Source organism: Homo sapiens, chromosome 12 (genome assembly GCF_000001405.40).
Source record: "Homo sapiens chromosome 12, GRCh38.p14 Primary Assembly".
Taxonomy (NCBI): domain Eukaryota; kingdom Metazoa; phylum Chordata; class Mammalia; order Primates; family Hominidae; genus Homo; species Homo sapiens.
The window spans coordinates 130445611-130460497 of record NC_000012.12 but is presented as its reverse complement, the minus strand read 5'-3'; the positions used below and the strand labels follow the sequence as shown (position 1 = coordinate 130460497).

Sequence of the window (14887 nt, the reverse complement as noted above, 5' to 3'; positions counted from 1 at the left end):
CTCATACCAATGCTATTCCTACAAAAAACACTGCTATTGCTACCACTGCTGTTAATGCTCTAATACCAAAGCAAGACTTCTACTACTGCAGGTGATGAAAATACCAGTACTACTGATACTAGTACTGCTCATCAATACCAATACTGCCACCATGATTACGGCTGCTCCTGCGAGCGCCGCTTTGCTGCTGCTGACGGCACTTCCAGCCTACCGAGGGGCCTGCGTCCTCTGTGCACAGAGTGGGGCCTGGAGCACAGACTCACAGGATACCTAGAGCTGAGGGTTCCCCGTGGGAGAGGGAACCCGGCCCTGATGAACACCCAGGCCTGTGATGACACAGCGGCCCCTGTGCAGGGGTCTCAGGGTTCCTTGGTGAGCCACCTGGTGGCTGCTTCTCCACCCGTTTTCTGTCTCCCTTGGACAGAGGTGACCTGGTTCATCTCTAACTGAAGGGTACTCCACAGTTCCTGTGCGTAGATTAGTTTACCCGCAGCTTATTGTGATCCATCAAATATCTGTTAAATGTCCACCCTGTGCCAAGTCGTGAACTAACGGTTGAGGATGGACTGATGGGCCAGGGCAAGGGGCTGACCTTGGGAAGCGCCACTATGGCCCCCATAGGACACAGGCGTGGGAGTGGCCCTGCCAGGCCCTGGGGACCAAACCACAGAGAGTATGCAGCTGCTGCTCGGCTCACCCTCGTCCTTGGCCCCCCACCCCCCGTCATTTCTGGGAGTCCCATGGAACCATGTGAGAGCAGACAGCCTGCCCTGTTCCCTCTGTATTGCGACGACCTGTCCTCCTGCAAACAAAAGCAGGCAGCCCGCAGCCTGCAGGCTGCTGGCAGGTGTGTATCAGATGCAGAACCCGCTTTAGGCTCCTGTGACCTCAGCCGCCCTTAGCCCCCTTGATGGGGTGGTACCTTTCATTATCTTCACCATCTCTGTATGCCACCTGTATTCTTAGTTCCTATTGTTTAAAATCTCTTCATTTCTGAAAACTTTATTTTGAAGTAATTTTAGGGTCACGGGAATTTACAAAGACAGCAGGGGGAGTTCCCGTGGCCCCTCTTCCTGCTTCCCGGTGGTGGTGTCTCTGTAGCCAGAGTGTGTTCTCAAAGCCGGGAAGCTGGCGTGGGAGCAGCACTGTAGCATGCTGGGGAATTTACTTGCTTTCTCGAGTGTTTATATCCACTCTTTTTTTTTTTTCGTATATAGCTGTATGGCATTTGGTGGTATATACAGATTCTCGTAACCACCACCACCACCACCATCAGCTGTACAGACGGCTCTGTCACCCAGAGAAACTCCCTCATGGCACCGTCCCTCGTCACACCCTCCCCTAACCCAAAACCCTGACAACCGCTGATCTGTTCTTTATTGCTATAATTTTATCATTTCAAGATTTTTGTATGAAAAGTCTATTCACTTTTTTTTTGTTTTTTTTTTTTTTTGAGACAGAGTGTCACTCTTGTTGCCCAGGCTGGAGTGCAGAGGCTCGATCTCAGCTCACTACAACCTCTGCCTCCCGGGTTCAAGTGATTCTCCTGCCTCAGCCTCCCAAATAGCTGGGACTACAGGCGCGTGTCTCCCTGCCCGGCTAATTTTGTATTTTTAGTAGAGACTGAGTTTCACCATGTTGGCCAGGCTGGTCTCGAACTCCTGAGCTCAGGTGATCCGCCCACCTCGGCCTCTCAAAGTGCTGGGATTGCAGGCGTGAGCCACCGTGCCTGGCCTATTTTAGTTAGGTCATTTTCATAGACACGACATTAGGGAATGGGTGTGCCAGTTACATGTTCCCTGTCACATGTTAGAATGAATGCATGACTATTAAATGTCTCCTGTTTCTCCACACCCTGGGAAGGCTCCGCGAGTGCCCCATGGGTGCCTGGGGGTTCGTTGGCTCACACAGTTGAGCTCAGGGCCTTCCGGGGTCCGGCCTTGCCTGCAGCGGGCAGTGGCAGCTGTTCCCTGGCCAGGACCCTGGCTGCCCTGCAGGGCCCGTCACTCTGTCTTAAGGGCTGAACCAGCAGAGTCAGAGCCCCTGCAAGCCCTGCGAAGCCAAGTCGTCATCCCACCTGCAGACCCCACATTTGGGGTCGGAGCTGTCCCTGGGCTTGGGTTCCCTCCGATGCTTTCCATGTCAGGCCCCAGAGCCCCTGGGTTTTTAGCTCTATGCCTATCTTGGTAGACACAGCCGGCTTGGCCAAGCCCATTCAGCTTTTTAAAGAAGAATACTGCTGATTTCTTTTAATGAATCAAAGAAATTAATTATAGGCTTTGGATTTGTTAGGTTTATTTTAGAAATCCATGATCTCAGCCATAAATAGTGCTTCATTCTGGACTAAGGAGCTGAGAAGCCTGCTGCCTGTGGAGGGATAGTGGGGGAGAGGATGGATGAAGAGGAGGGGCGGAGGAGGGGAGGGGGAGGTGGGGGGCTGTTGCTGAGCCCTTTGCTCAGGTCCGGGACGCAGCAGGAAACAGGCAGACAAAGCCCTGCCCTCATGGGGCTGACATTTCACTGGGGGAAACGTCAGTGTCGTCAGCCCCACAGATGACATGAATAACCCCATAAATGGGATGTTCCCGGCCATCCTAAAGTAAGGAGTGGCAAGAAAGCGGCTTTGCATGCAGACCTGACAAGCCATCCCCACGAGGAGCACGGTGCCCACAGCTCAGGGCTCGCCTTTTTCACTGATTCAGCAAACGCTCTTTGAGCACCTGCTGGGTGCTGAGTCCATGCAGAGTATCGAAGGTGTGTCCTTGAGCCAGAAAGCAGAGGCTTGGGGCCGAGAGTGTAGCCGTGGACACCGACAAGAAACGAATAGCCCAGGAGCTACTGCAGTGCCGGGGGGCGGTCAGCACAGTGGAGAAAGGAACGCGGGGTGAGAAGGTAGAGTGGGTCCTCTGTAGACCCCTCTGTCCTGCACCTTCTGTGATGGGTGCCAGAAACCTATGTCAGGAGGCCATGTCTTATGTAGAGCTCAAGTCCCAGGGGAGCAGGGAGCGGGGCTTTGCCCATGCACCTCTGACCTGGGAGGAAGCCCACAAGGGTCAGAGATGTCCCGAGACTGGACACAGCCCAGGCCTGTCCTGACCCGAGGAAGGAGTTTGCTGGGCTACCCCTTTCCTGTGCGTGTCCCTGGGGGAGACGCTTGCCTTCCCCAGGGCTCCCGACGTGGCTTCGTGTTGTCTGCAAATGCAGCAGTGTTGCTAACTGAACATAGCAGATAGAGAGTCCTTATTGCTCCAAGTGGTGCTCTTAAGGGTTCTACAGTCCGAGGGGGCGGGCGCCCTGGATGAGAAGAATTGCATCCTTGCATCCATGGGACAGCACCTGAGCTGCTCCCCTGAGTCTGGGCCGCATCACAGCCTCATACTCCAAGTTCCAAACAGCTCTAGCAAAGCCTGCCAACTGCAAAGTGCCCGGGCTGCACGCACAGCCCAGAACAATCTACGGTTGGCTGGGAGCTGAGTGTTTGCAGGATTTCTTGGCACCTGTGGTTTCTCACATTGGCCAGTAGCCAGGTGGCAGGAGAAGCTGGGTTTATCAGGCACTGCTCTCCCGTGAAAGTGGGAGGCGGCCCCTGCTGCACATGTCACACACAGACACGTGCACACAGGATACATGCTCATATGCACACACTCAACCACACATGCATTTTCACAGACACAACACGTGTGTACACACGTGCACACAGTGCACATGTGCACACGTACAACACATGTGAACAGGCGCACACACATTTCCACCACCAAATGCCACCGCTGACCCCCTGTCCTGCTTCTGCCGTGCAGTCCAAGGTTCGAGAGCTGGAAGAGAAATGCCGGACTCAAAGTGAGCAGTTCAACCTGCTGTCCCGGGACCTGGAGAAGTTCCGGCAGCACGCTGGCAAGATTGACCTGCTGGGTGGCAGCGCGGTGGCCCCCCTGGACATCTCCACGGCCCCCAGCAAGCCTTTCCCACAGTTCATGAATGGCCTAGCCACCTCCCTCGGCAAAGGTAAGCGCCTGGACCTTCCGCCTTGGCTGTGGTGGGGAGAGAATGGCCGTTGGCTGCCTGCGAGGGTGTGCACAGGTGAAATCGGTTTGGTGACACCTGGCAGAGGGTACAGGGACCCGCCACTGCAATGGGAAGGATGAGAACAGGGCTGCTCACAGCCGTGGGGCACACGGTACACTCAGCACCTCACGGGCATCCACAAATGTGGGACCCACACATTTTCTCACCTGTAAAATGGGCCCATTTTACAGGCGAGAAAAACCAAAGCACTAGTGTGGGTCACACAGATGCTGATGGAGGCTCAGTCTGGGATTTGAACCCAGGAGTCTGGCTGCAGAGTCTGCACTGGCAACGACTCCACAAGGATTTCTTGGCTGGGTACTCCAAAGCTCTGTGAAGCTCATTTCTCTGTGTTCGTTGTTTTTCCTTCCTTCTCATCTCAGTAACTTGTTGGTGATGTTGGGACGTGCTTGGAACCTCTGTTCTAGCAAAGGCAGTGGTGAACATGAGCCCTCGCCCATCACAGTCCTGCTTAGAGGCCGGGTGGGGAGAAGCCCCCTGTGTGTGTGCTGGGGGATTTAGTCTTGGTCGCAGGCAGAGCGATCACAGATGTCCTTTAATCAGACCTCGGTGGAGGTGCTACGTCCTGGCTGAAGGTTAAGTGGGATGCAGAGGTTAGACAGGTTTCATGGCCAGGTCTGCCCACCTGTTTAAGAAGTTGGTTTAAAAAAAAATTAGGGGAGATGAGCGTCTGAACCTCACTTTGGAATTCTGTAAAAAAGATAATTTGCAAATTTCCCCTAGTTCTTATCAGAATATATAAGTACCTTGGGTGCTTTTTATCATTAAAATAAGGAGATGCCACTTGTGTCTTGCTAAAAAACATTCTCCTGCCTCTCCGCTCGTCCCACGCCTTCCCATGCCCTTCCCTTTTGGTCCACGCATCAGAGAGAATGCCGGGTGGGGTAAGTGGTCGTGGCTGTGGGAGGCCAGCAGGCAGGGACCAGGGTCCGAGCGCTCTGCCGCTCATCTCCAGGCACTCACGACACCCAGGCTGCATGCCCTGCCTAGGTTGCAACGCTGAGAGACAGACAGGGCACCGTGCGGAGCTCCCGCTGGCGGGCAGACGATACGTGGGGAGCCTCTGATCCAGACGCTGCATGAAGACCAGGTGATGAGGTGGACAGTGACTTGGGCTCTTCTAGATGGTCCTGGAAGGCGGCTGCCAAGAAACCACATTTGAGCTGTGACACCTGAAGAGTGGAGGAAAACAAGACGGTTTCCGTTCTTCCCAGGGGAAAACAGAATGCACGTGTCTCCATGCTGTCTCTCTCCCTCCCGTGAAGGGCCACACAGAGCCCCACTCCGTGCGACAAGAAACGCACGGCTTCTGCTCTGGGAAACCCACTGAGACTTGGGTCCAGAGCTTTTCCTGGGGGCTGCTTGCGCGGGCACCGTGCCCACCGAAGCTCCAGACTCCTGGAAGGAAAGCAGGTGTTCAGTGTGAGCTGTGTGGTGTGCACAAGCTAGGCCTGCCTTTATCAGTCAGGGGATGTTTCCATCCAGTGTAGGGGACATTTCAGAAGCTGAGTTCCAGACACTAGCCAGTGACCCACCTTGCAAGCTGGCCCTTCTGTAAACAGCAGTCCCAGGCCTGCCCGGTGAGTCCGAGGCCCACAGCATGTGAATGTGGAACCCGCTGCAAAGCTCCCGGGACAGGGAGGCGGGAACAGGGATTGGCCAGCATGGAAAAAGGAATCTGATTAACCACTGTGGAAAATGCACACTGCATAAAACCAAAAAAACAAAGTGGTACCATGCCTTTACTAAGCCAGGGCCGCCTGGCAGAGAAGAAGGTTTGCACCACGGCTTCTGTTTAACAACTGTCTGGAAGACGCACCCTCCTAATGAATCCAGTTCATTTAATCACAGTTTCCTCACCCACCAGGGGTCGCCTGGCATGGCCCATGCCCATATCCCCTGGCATTGCCCTGGCACTCCCCTCACAGTGCATGTCGCTTATGACGGCGGTGGACACCAGTGCCTCCAGAGAGCTGCCCCACAGCACCCCGATCCCACCAGGACACTCCTCCCTGCAGACAGCGCAGGCCCCTCTTCCAGGCCTCTGCTTAGGGTCTCCTCTTGTTTTATTCTTTCTTCCCCCACTCTCTGAATGTGTTTACTTATTTTTGTACATTTTTTCCAACTTTGAGGTATAGTGGATAATTAGAAATCATACATATTTAAGGTATACAACTTGATCCGATGTAACATAAATCAATTGTGAAATAATCACCACAGCCAAGCTAATTAACATACCACCTCCTATCCACATCCTCACGTGGTTACCTTTTCTTTTCATGGTGAAAACCCTTAAGATCTGCCTCCTTTGTAAACTTCAAGTCTATAATCCAGCATTTTGTTTTTTGTGTTTTGTTTTTTGCATTGGAGTCTCGCTCTGTCGCCCAGGCTGGAGTGCAATGGTGTGATCTCGGCTCAGTACAAGCCCCGCCTCCCAGGTTCAAGCGATTCTCCTGCCTCAGCCTCCCAGGTAGCTGGGATTACAGGTGTGCACCGCCGCGCCTGGCTAATTTTTGTATTTTTAGTAGAGATGGGGTTTCACCATGTTGTTCAGGCTGGTCTTAAACTCCTGAACTCAGGTGATCTACCTGCCTCGGTCTCCCAAAGTGCTGGGATTACAGGTGTGAGCCACCGCCTTGGCCTACAACCCAGCATTTCAGCTGCATTCACGTTTATGTGTAGGAGATCCCCAAAGAGTATTCATCTTGTGCCCTTCGATCAACAGCCCCCGGCCCGGCCCCTGGAAACCACTGTTCTGTTCTCTGCTTCTGCGAGTTGGCCTTGTTGAGGTTTCCCACGTGAGTGGGGGCCGTCCGTGCCATGTTTGTATCTCTGTGCCTGGGTTACTCCACGTAGCAGAGAGTCCTCCAGGTGCATCGTGTTGTCACAAAGGGCCAGGTGTCCTCCTTTCCTGAGGCCGGATAACATCCCATTGTGTTCAAATCTGTATTTTTTACCTGTTCATCTGCCGCAGATCTTCCCACACTGACCTGAGAGAGAGGATGGTGGAAGGTGCAGGGCTGGCCGCAAGACAGAGAAGGGGTCCCGGGTGGATGTGCTGTCACTCACCTGCACTTTCACCCAGGGCTCCTCCAGCCTGTGGCTGGGGCAGGCCACAAAGGGACTCGCGCCCTGTATGGGGAGGCACCTCTGACACAGAGTGAGGCGCTGCAGTCAGTATGTGAGGGCAGGCGTTGCTCATGGGCCACACTGTCCCCGGCAACCTCCTAGGAAGGAGTGTGTTGGGGAGAGGCGTGGCCTCTCCTATCCCTGGCGCAGCCAGTTTTCCTTCCAGTATGGGAGCTGGGTTTTTTGAGTCAACATTTTTTTGACCTATATTTTTCTAGAACATACGTATTTTGAAGCATTACCATCATGAGAGAGCGCGGTGTTTGCATCTCGAGGGGCCCGTGGGAACCAGCCCCATTTGAAGGCACTGCACGTTTTGTTTCTAATCTCACCTTGTCTTCTCAGGCACAATGGCAGGTAAAAGCTGCCACGGGGATTACGTTATTTTTCCCTAGAGAGTTGGGTTTGGATAAATTGTGAATACAAGGTGACTACTGTATTCATATCACCTTCATCAGCTGTGCCGTCCCCTGCTGTTCACTGTGGCGCGGTGTCAGGCAGGAAGGGCCAAGTTCTGCTGCAGTCACACGCGGCCCCCCAGGTCTCGGAACGCTGGAGGACAGTGTTTCCTCTCTGGAAAGTTCCCTGGCCACTGTGTGGGGAGGAAAAGTGGCTTTTGCCCACAAGTGGAGCCTGCCACTCCCCTCAAGGTTCACTGGCCCAGGTGACTCTCGTGGCTGGGAGCAGAGAAGAGGCAGCAATGCCAGTTGGAAGGGGAGTAGCCTGCAGCAGGCTCTGCTGTCGGCTGGGTTTCCGAGGCTTCTGGAAGCTGAATCGTTCGATATTCACTTTGCACCTGCTACACGCCGAGCCATGTTATAGTGAATACAACAAGGTCCTGCCCTCCAGGATCAGATGTTCTCACAGGGGACCCCAGGGCAGGGCTGCCCCAGCTCCAATTCCCTGCCATGGTGGCGCTGTCCTGCTGTTCACTCCAGCCTGGAGTTGTGGGGCCTGCTAGGGGCGGCTCCTAGGGCAGCCGTTGTGGAACATTCCTCATGGTTTTTTAAATCATTTTATACTTACTGATTTGGACTCAGCAATTCATATTCATCAGTGAGGTGACTGTCATGATGTGACAGCTACAGAGGGACCGAGGACCCCAGGGAGGGGGTGTCATCATTCCCAGCAGCGGAGAGCTTGGGAAGGAAGCAGCCGCGTCATGTTTCACACCCGGATCCTGGTTAAAGTGCTGCGCTGTCGTCTGACACCCAGGCCAGCGTTAGTCACGTTGCTCAATGCTCCCTTCCAGGCAACCAGGACAGGGCTCAGCAGCCCCTGAGACCCCAGGAGGATAGGACGGGATAAGAACTATTTCAGCCCTTGCAAATCTCTCGTCAAGAGTATTTTTTTAGCCACAAACCCACCCCTTTGGCCAGTTAGGACTCAGGGTCATAAGTGACAGCAAAGCCAACCTAAACTGGTGTGAGCAAAAAGGAGTCTGTCTGTCACCTGAGTAGATGAAGAGCCAGGACGTGGCTTCAGGGACATCTTGAACCAGGGGCTCCAAGCCCATCGCCGGGATCCACTTTCTCTCGGTCTCGCTGTGAGCAGGCGCCGTCCTCACGTGAGCGTTCCTCTCGCAGGTGCAGGAGGTTTGCGGCCTCCCTGAGCTTCACAGCTGCTCAATTTTAAGCCAAGGAAAGGAGCAGCCTGTTTGCCATCAACTCTCCTTTAGTTCCCTCTGCCTGGGACCATCCTCGTCCTGAGCCCCCAAACAGCGTTACCGCCAGGGTGGCTCTGCCAGCTGGACGGGCCCAGAGCTGAGGGTGGGGTCGCGCCGCCAGCCTACATAGATGGCGAGCAGGAGACGGGTGGACCCCAAAATGAAAATCAGTGGCTGTTGTCAAAGAGGGGAAAGGCACCCCGGGTAGGCGCATGACCAACGTGCTTTGACGATGTTATTCGCATATTTGTTTCAACTTGTTTTAATGTTCGTGGCCAGGTCAGGAGAGCGCTATTGGAGGCAGCTCTGCGATCGGTGAATATATCCGGCCCCTTCCGCAGCCTGGTGACAGGCCGGAGCCTCTGTCCGCCAAGCCCACCTTCCTGTCGAGATCCGGTAGCGCAAGATGCAGATCTGAGTCAGACGTGAGTCCCGTCCCGCAGGGGCTGCCGGGGCTGCCTGTGCTGTGTGTGTCTGGTGTGGACGTTGGCCAGTTTGTCCTGTTTTTTCTTCCCCATCTTCCTCCCTGTCTTCCTTCTGGTTGGTTCTTCCCTTTGCCCCTGTTAATTCCCTTGCCCTACTATGTGCTGGAATGTGGGGGGGCCCCTCTGTGAACACAGGTGAGGTCCCTGTTCTAAGGGGGAGCAGAGAGAACACTGGCGAGGCAGCGTTTAGAAAAGCAAATCCCATCGAGGGGTGCAAGGATGACGCAGCAAGGCTGTTGACGCAGAGCTGGCCGGGAGGGGCCTGTGGAGGTTGGGGAGGGCCCTGCGCGTCCTGTCCTGTGGCATTGATGGGAAGGGGCTGGTGTGGCTGGAGAGGGGGCGGGGGCAGAGGACAGCGTTTGGCTTTTTGTCTGAGTCCGAGGTGAAGCCACTGAAAGCTGTTAAGGCAGGGGGTGATGTGGTCTAATTCCTGCTTAAAGACTGTTCCAGCTTGTGTGGGGAATGCACTAGGGGGAGTGAGAGTGGGATCACTGGGGGGTCGTGCACATACTGCTTAATTTTACCCCCACCCCTATGAGAAAAGGCCACGCCGCTGACTCCCGGGATTGCTGTAGGAGACACTGGGCGGAGTCTTTGAGCCTTACCTTCCTGTTTGGGGACTGGGTTCTCTACAAACACAGAGGGGGCCTATGTAATAAGGGGTCCACACCGAGGGACCACCCTCCTTTCCAAGCTCGCATGTGGGTGTGCGGGTGGCAGTGCCTCCTGGGAGTGCCACAGTCTCAGGCCGTCCCTCCTGGGGCCCAGGAAGCTGCGAGGGGCTTTCCCGTGTGCCGCGGGAATGGGGTGGGACACCTCCAGCTTCAATAACCCACACACCCATTGCCTTTTTCACAGATGGAGAATGAACGGAATTCCAATACCTCCAAGCAGAGATACTCGGGGAAGGTCCACCTCTGTGTTGCCCGCTATAGGTAAGTGCGGCCCCTCGGCGTCCACCGAGCCCCTGTGAGTGGGGCAGATGAGATGTTGGGTCTGGGAACACTCTGGGGTCTGAGAAGTTCCCTTCTCCCAGGGCACGAGGAGAAGGTGGGATTTCAGCCTGGCCTGGAGGCTGAGCAGGGTTCGGTGGAGAGAGTTTGGGTGGCACGCAAGTCTCCCAGGGCTGCCATGACAGGAGGTCACAAACCTGGTGGCCTGAAACTACAGGTTTCTCCTCTCCCAACCCTGGAGGCAGAAGTTTGAGATGGGGGTATCGGCAGGGTCTCGCCCTCCGAGGGCTCCAAGGAGGGGTCCTTCTTTCCTCTTCTGGCTGCCGGGAGACCAGGCGGCCCTGGCTTGTAGCTGCGTGGCTCCAGTCTCTGCCTCCATCCTCCATCCTGCCTGGCCGCCTCGCCCTCCCTGTCTTTGTGCGTTCTCCCCTCTTCCTTTAAGGATACCCTTCCCTGGATTGGAATCTGCCCCGCTGCAGTATGACTAACTCCATCACATTTGCAAAGACTGTTTCCAAATAAGGTCCCATTCACAGGTGCAGGGGTTGGTCCATGAGTGCGTCTTTCCAGGGGACATCCCGCCACCGAGAGTGAAAGGGGACATGTCCAGAGCCCCGATCCCCACCACCGAGAGTGAAAGGGGGTGTGTCCAGCACCCTGATCTCCCGCATCCTCACCCTCTGCTGGGCGCTGCAGGCTGCATCTCGCTGCGATGACAGCCGCTGAGTGGGCTTCCCGTGCAGGGGCCTTCAGTGTTTGTGCTCGCTGAGAGGTAATGAGCCAGTTTTGTCCCGCACACCTCTCAGGTCCTCCACGGGAGCTTCCGCAGAGGCGGACGTGGGCAAGGATGAGAGGTCCCCCAGGACTGCACTACCTGATCGTAAGGAAAGCAAGCTGCAGCCAACTCTGCCCATGGGCGGACACTTGGGAATTCATCAGCCAGGGGCAGCAGGCCCAAGACAGAGCAGTTCACCCCCATTTCTTAGCACTCGTGAAGACCCAGCCTTTTGTCTCACAGATGCTCCAACAGCTCTGAGCGTGGGCTTGGCCTGAGGCTGACCTGACAGTATTTCAAAGGCAGATATCCCTGCCCTTCAGCTGGCATCGGGCAGCCAGAGTCCCGTGATCTGTTTAGGGACCAAGCTTCAGTGCAGTTGCCACCCTCACTAGATCCTTAAACTCTGTTCATGCAAAGGAGGTGACTCTTGATTTAAGCCAGTCCATACACCTTGAATACCTTTTGCTTTCTCCAGCAAGAGCTGTTTCTAACACCATTAAGAGGATCAGCGGATCACATTCCGCTCGTTGGTAATACACCAGTTCCACCAAAGCAAACCCATTTCTGAGGTTCAGGTAGCAGAAGCACTGGGGTAGATGCCCCTGGGCTGTGGGCTCCCATTAGAATCCAGCCCAGGCAGATGTGAATGCTGGCTGCACCCAGGTGGGGGCAGGCCCACCATCCGCTCATCTGTCACCATGCTGGAGGACAGCATCACAGCGCTGAGAGGCTATTGCATGCAGACGCACAGGGCCACAGTTGGCGGGGCCAGGATGAAGACCCAGTCCTACCCCTGGCTCCTTCAGTCCGGTTCTTGCTGTGTGTGGAGCAGGCCCAGGCGCAGCCATTCACAGAACCCTCAATGCCAGCACAGGGGCAGCGCTGGGCTGGTGTCCTCTGAGCCTGGCACATGCTGAGGTGGCTTCCCAGCCAAGCAGGGGCCTGGTGTGCCACAGACGCCTTCCTTCCCAATCATGAGCCTGGTCCAGCGAGGCTGCCACATGCGACCTACGATGGCCAACCTCAGAGGGCCACTGGGTTTGCGTTCCTGCCACTTCTATGGAGAGGGCATGGCTTTTCTGGGGGGAGCTGCCCTAGAGCTAATGTCCCCCGAGGACTGACCCACGGCTGGTGTGGCTCCAGAAGCGGGGGCGTGACGAGCCAGCACATCTGCCTCTCCCGTGGCCATCACCAGTCACAGCCCACGCACATTCTCCTTATCTCACTCTTTCAGTGGTATTCCTATTTTACTGGTGATGGATTTATGCCTTTTTTTTTTTTTTAACCACCCACCCTCTCTCAAACCAAGTCAAATTGTGAGGGGCATATAGTGCTGGTCCCCGAGAGAGCTGTTTCTGAGTTTTCTGAAAGCCCTCAGAGCCCCTAAGAGGTGGCTTTGCAGGTAGATGTAGGGAGGGGGTTATGTTTTCTGCCCCGGGTCTAATCAGTGTCTCCTCTTGCTGTCATTATTCAGCAACCTGCTTAGACATTTCTGCAAACCGAAAGCCTCTTGCTCACCTGGGCGCTCACTCTGGGTGCCGAGCGGCCTCTCCCCGCCCTCCATGCAGGGGCTGCCTCTGTGTCCATGTCTCCTCCCTTCCATCTGGTGCAGCCTCCGCCGTGGGGAACGCCTTGCTGAGGGCTCCTGGGTCCTTCCCACCCGAGGTCCAGGGTGAGGCTGACACATTCATCACCATCCTTCCTTTCGCCAGCTGTACGGAGAGATGGTCCTCACTGCACAGTTCACCCACTTGCAGTGTGCCGCCCAGGGCCACTGCTGTGCTCACAGATGCCACGGCCACATGTGGGGGTCTCCCATCGCCCCTCAAGAACCCATTCCCATCAGTGATCACCTGTCCCTCGTCTCCCATCGCCCCTCAAGAACCCATTCCCATCAGTGATCACCTGTCCCTCCTCCCCCGCCTCCAGCGCTGCGTGACCCCTGACCTACTTCTGTCTCTGTTGAGTCCCCATTCCCGACGTGTCCCCTGGTCTCATCCACACAGTACGTGGCAGCGTCTGCCCTGAACACCCACGAGGTCGGGTGGCCTCCAGGGCCCACACGCAGGAGCACCGACGAGGTTGTCACGACAGCCGTAGGATCTCCCACTTCTTCTCCGTGCCCTTACCAGCCAGGGACCTTCTTCCACCCTTCTCGGTGTTCACCTTCCCTCTTGGCCTCCGCGGCTTCCCTCTCAAGCTCTCAGGGTGTGTCTTCCCTACCTGCTCCCTGGGGAAGCTTCTCTTCCTGAGCGTCAGGTGTGGGCACTCCTGAAGGCGTGGCCTGGGGGCTCCTGTTCCTCTCGCTCCCTCCTCCTCCTCCTCCTCCTCCGAGAACACTCTGCCAGCTTCTGTGTCTCGGCCATCTACCCATCCAGACCCCCCTGCAGATCCCCCTGAAAACCCCCACTCAGTGACTTGTGTCCCCGCCTGCTCACCCTGAGGCCAGAAAGCCGAGGGTCCTCCTGCACCTCAGTCCCTCATCCCTGCAGCCAGGCAACCCGCATTTCCACAGCCTCCTAAGTCACTCCCCGACCAAACTCCTTTGCTGGAACTCCTCCACCAAGCTCCATCCACACAGCACCCACGAGGTCTCTTTGTAAAACGCAAACATGATCCTGTCGCTCCCTGGCTTAAAACTCTTTCATGACATCCCACAGCTTGTGAGATCAGGTTAAAACCAGTCTGGTCCCTGCCAACCTCATCTCTCTCCTCCCTGCCTCTGGGCCTTGGCGCATGCTATTCCTTCTTCCAGAGCTCTTGTCCCGTTCCACTGCCGAGCTTTGTGTTAGAGGGTGGCCCATGTCAGTTCCTGGTGCACAGCCCTCTAGGCTGACCTGCTGGGTGCTGTCAGGGTCTTGGATTGGGTTCCTGGACCTCTGCACCCTGACCATGAGGGGCCACGTGACCTGGTGTGGTTAAAACTGCGCAGGACGGGTCAGGAGGTCTCAGCTCTGGTTCCCCTTCCACCGATTCATAAGCTTGTGACTTTGGGCATGTTGCCTGACCTCACTCAGCCATTGAGACTGGGGACCTTATCTTCTCTGTTTTCCTAACATTTAATGGCCATCGAATAAAACGTGTATGAAAGTGTTGGTAAACTGCACAGTGCCACTGATGCATGAATCATTTTCATATCATAATTATAATATTACAGTGTCTGGCTATCTTCTCCAACTCTAATGTTATTTTCATTTTTTAATGAGTTCTTCGCTGTTATTTTAAGTTAATTTGCCTTTTATTTAGAGAATCCCCAATTCATCTGGGTTTGTTTCATGTGTTTGATTTTCCAAGTTGGACACGGCTTTGAAAATTATTAATCCCAATATGTTGAGGACTGGAGAATATGGATACTCTTATATTCCTGGGGGTGTGGGGGGGGGGAGCATAAAATCATGCGTCTGTTTTTCTGAGCATTTTGACTGTCCACACCCAAGACCTTAAAAATGTAGGTGCCTTTGACCAAATAAGTATATTTCCTAGGATTTATCATTAGGAAGAAATTGTGGAAGTGTGCAAAAATATGTTTATAAGAATATATAATGCAATACTAATTATATTAGCCAAAAGTTAGAAGAAACCTCACTGCCCAACATTAGGAAACTGGTTAAATAAAGTATGTTAATATGTTCAGTGGAATACTCTACACCCATTAAAAAGACTATGATGATAATATTTCAAGAGGTAGAAGTATAGGATGCTATCTTGCAAGGTGGAAGAATAAGCAGGTTGCTAAATAGTATATATGATTCTGTTTTCACTAAATTGTATTATTGAAAGATTATAGGGTTAA

General features: G+C 54.6%; 1 protein-coding gene across 35 annotated transcripts in view, besides 3 other annotated features; it reads left to right on the top strand.

Moving 5' to 3' along the window:
- RIMBP2 (RIMS binding protein 2) overlaps nucleotides 1-14887 on the top strand; it is a 320167-nt gene that overhangs the window by 255802 nt on the left and 49478 nt on the right. For all 35 annotated transcript variants that reach the window (NM_001351227.2, NM_001393621.1, XM_047428628.1 and 32 more), the window contains 3 exons: nucleotides 3798-4002; nucleotides 9158-9303; nucleotides 10222-10298. In NM_001351227.2, the coding sequence (NP_001338156.1) occupies nucleotides 3798-4002; nucleotides 9158-9303; nucleotides 10222-10298 (428 nt within the window). The remainder of the gene's footprint in view (nucleotides 1-3797; nucleotides 4003-9157; nucleotides 9304-10221; nucleotides 10299-14887) is intronic.
- Nucleotides 6647-6811: a silencer, noted in NCBI's record as "fragment chr12:130938232-130938396 (GRCh37/hg19 assembly coordinates)". NCBI's record gives its function as "represses an EF-1alpha promoter that drives an FKBP-Casp9 reporter gene in an ReSE screen in HepG2 liver carcinoma cells {active_cell/tissue: HepG2}" and the evidence as "EXISTENCE:reporter gene assay evidence [ECO:0000049][PMID:32094911]".
- Nucleotides 9354-9980: an enhancer, noted in NCBI's record as "H3K4me1 hESC enhancer chr12:130935063-130935689 (GRCh37/hg19 assembly coordinates)". NCBI's record gives its function as "activates a minimal SCP1, AML or CMV promoter by ChIP-STARR-seq in naive H9 embryonic stem cells {active_cell/tissue: H9 hESC(naive)}" and the evidence as "EXISTENCE:reporter gene assay evidence [ECO:0000049][PMID:30033119]".
- Nucleotides 12643-13142: an enhancer, noted in NCBI's record as "H3K4me1 hESC enhancer chr12:130931901-130932400 (GRCh37/hg19 assembly coordinates)". NCBI's record gives its function as "activates a minimal SCP1, AML or CMV promoter by ChIP-STARR-seq in naive H9 embryonic stem cells {active_cell/tissue: H9 hESC(naive)}" and the evidence as "EXISTENCE:reporter gene assay evidence [ECO:0000049][PMID:30033119]".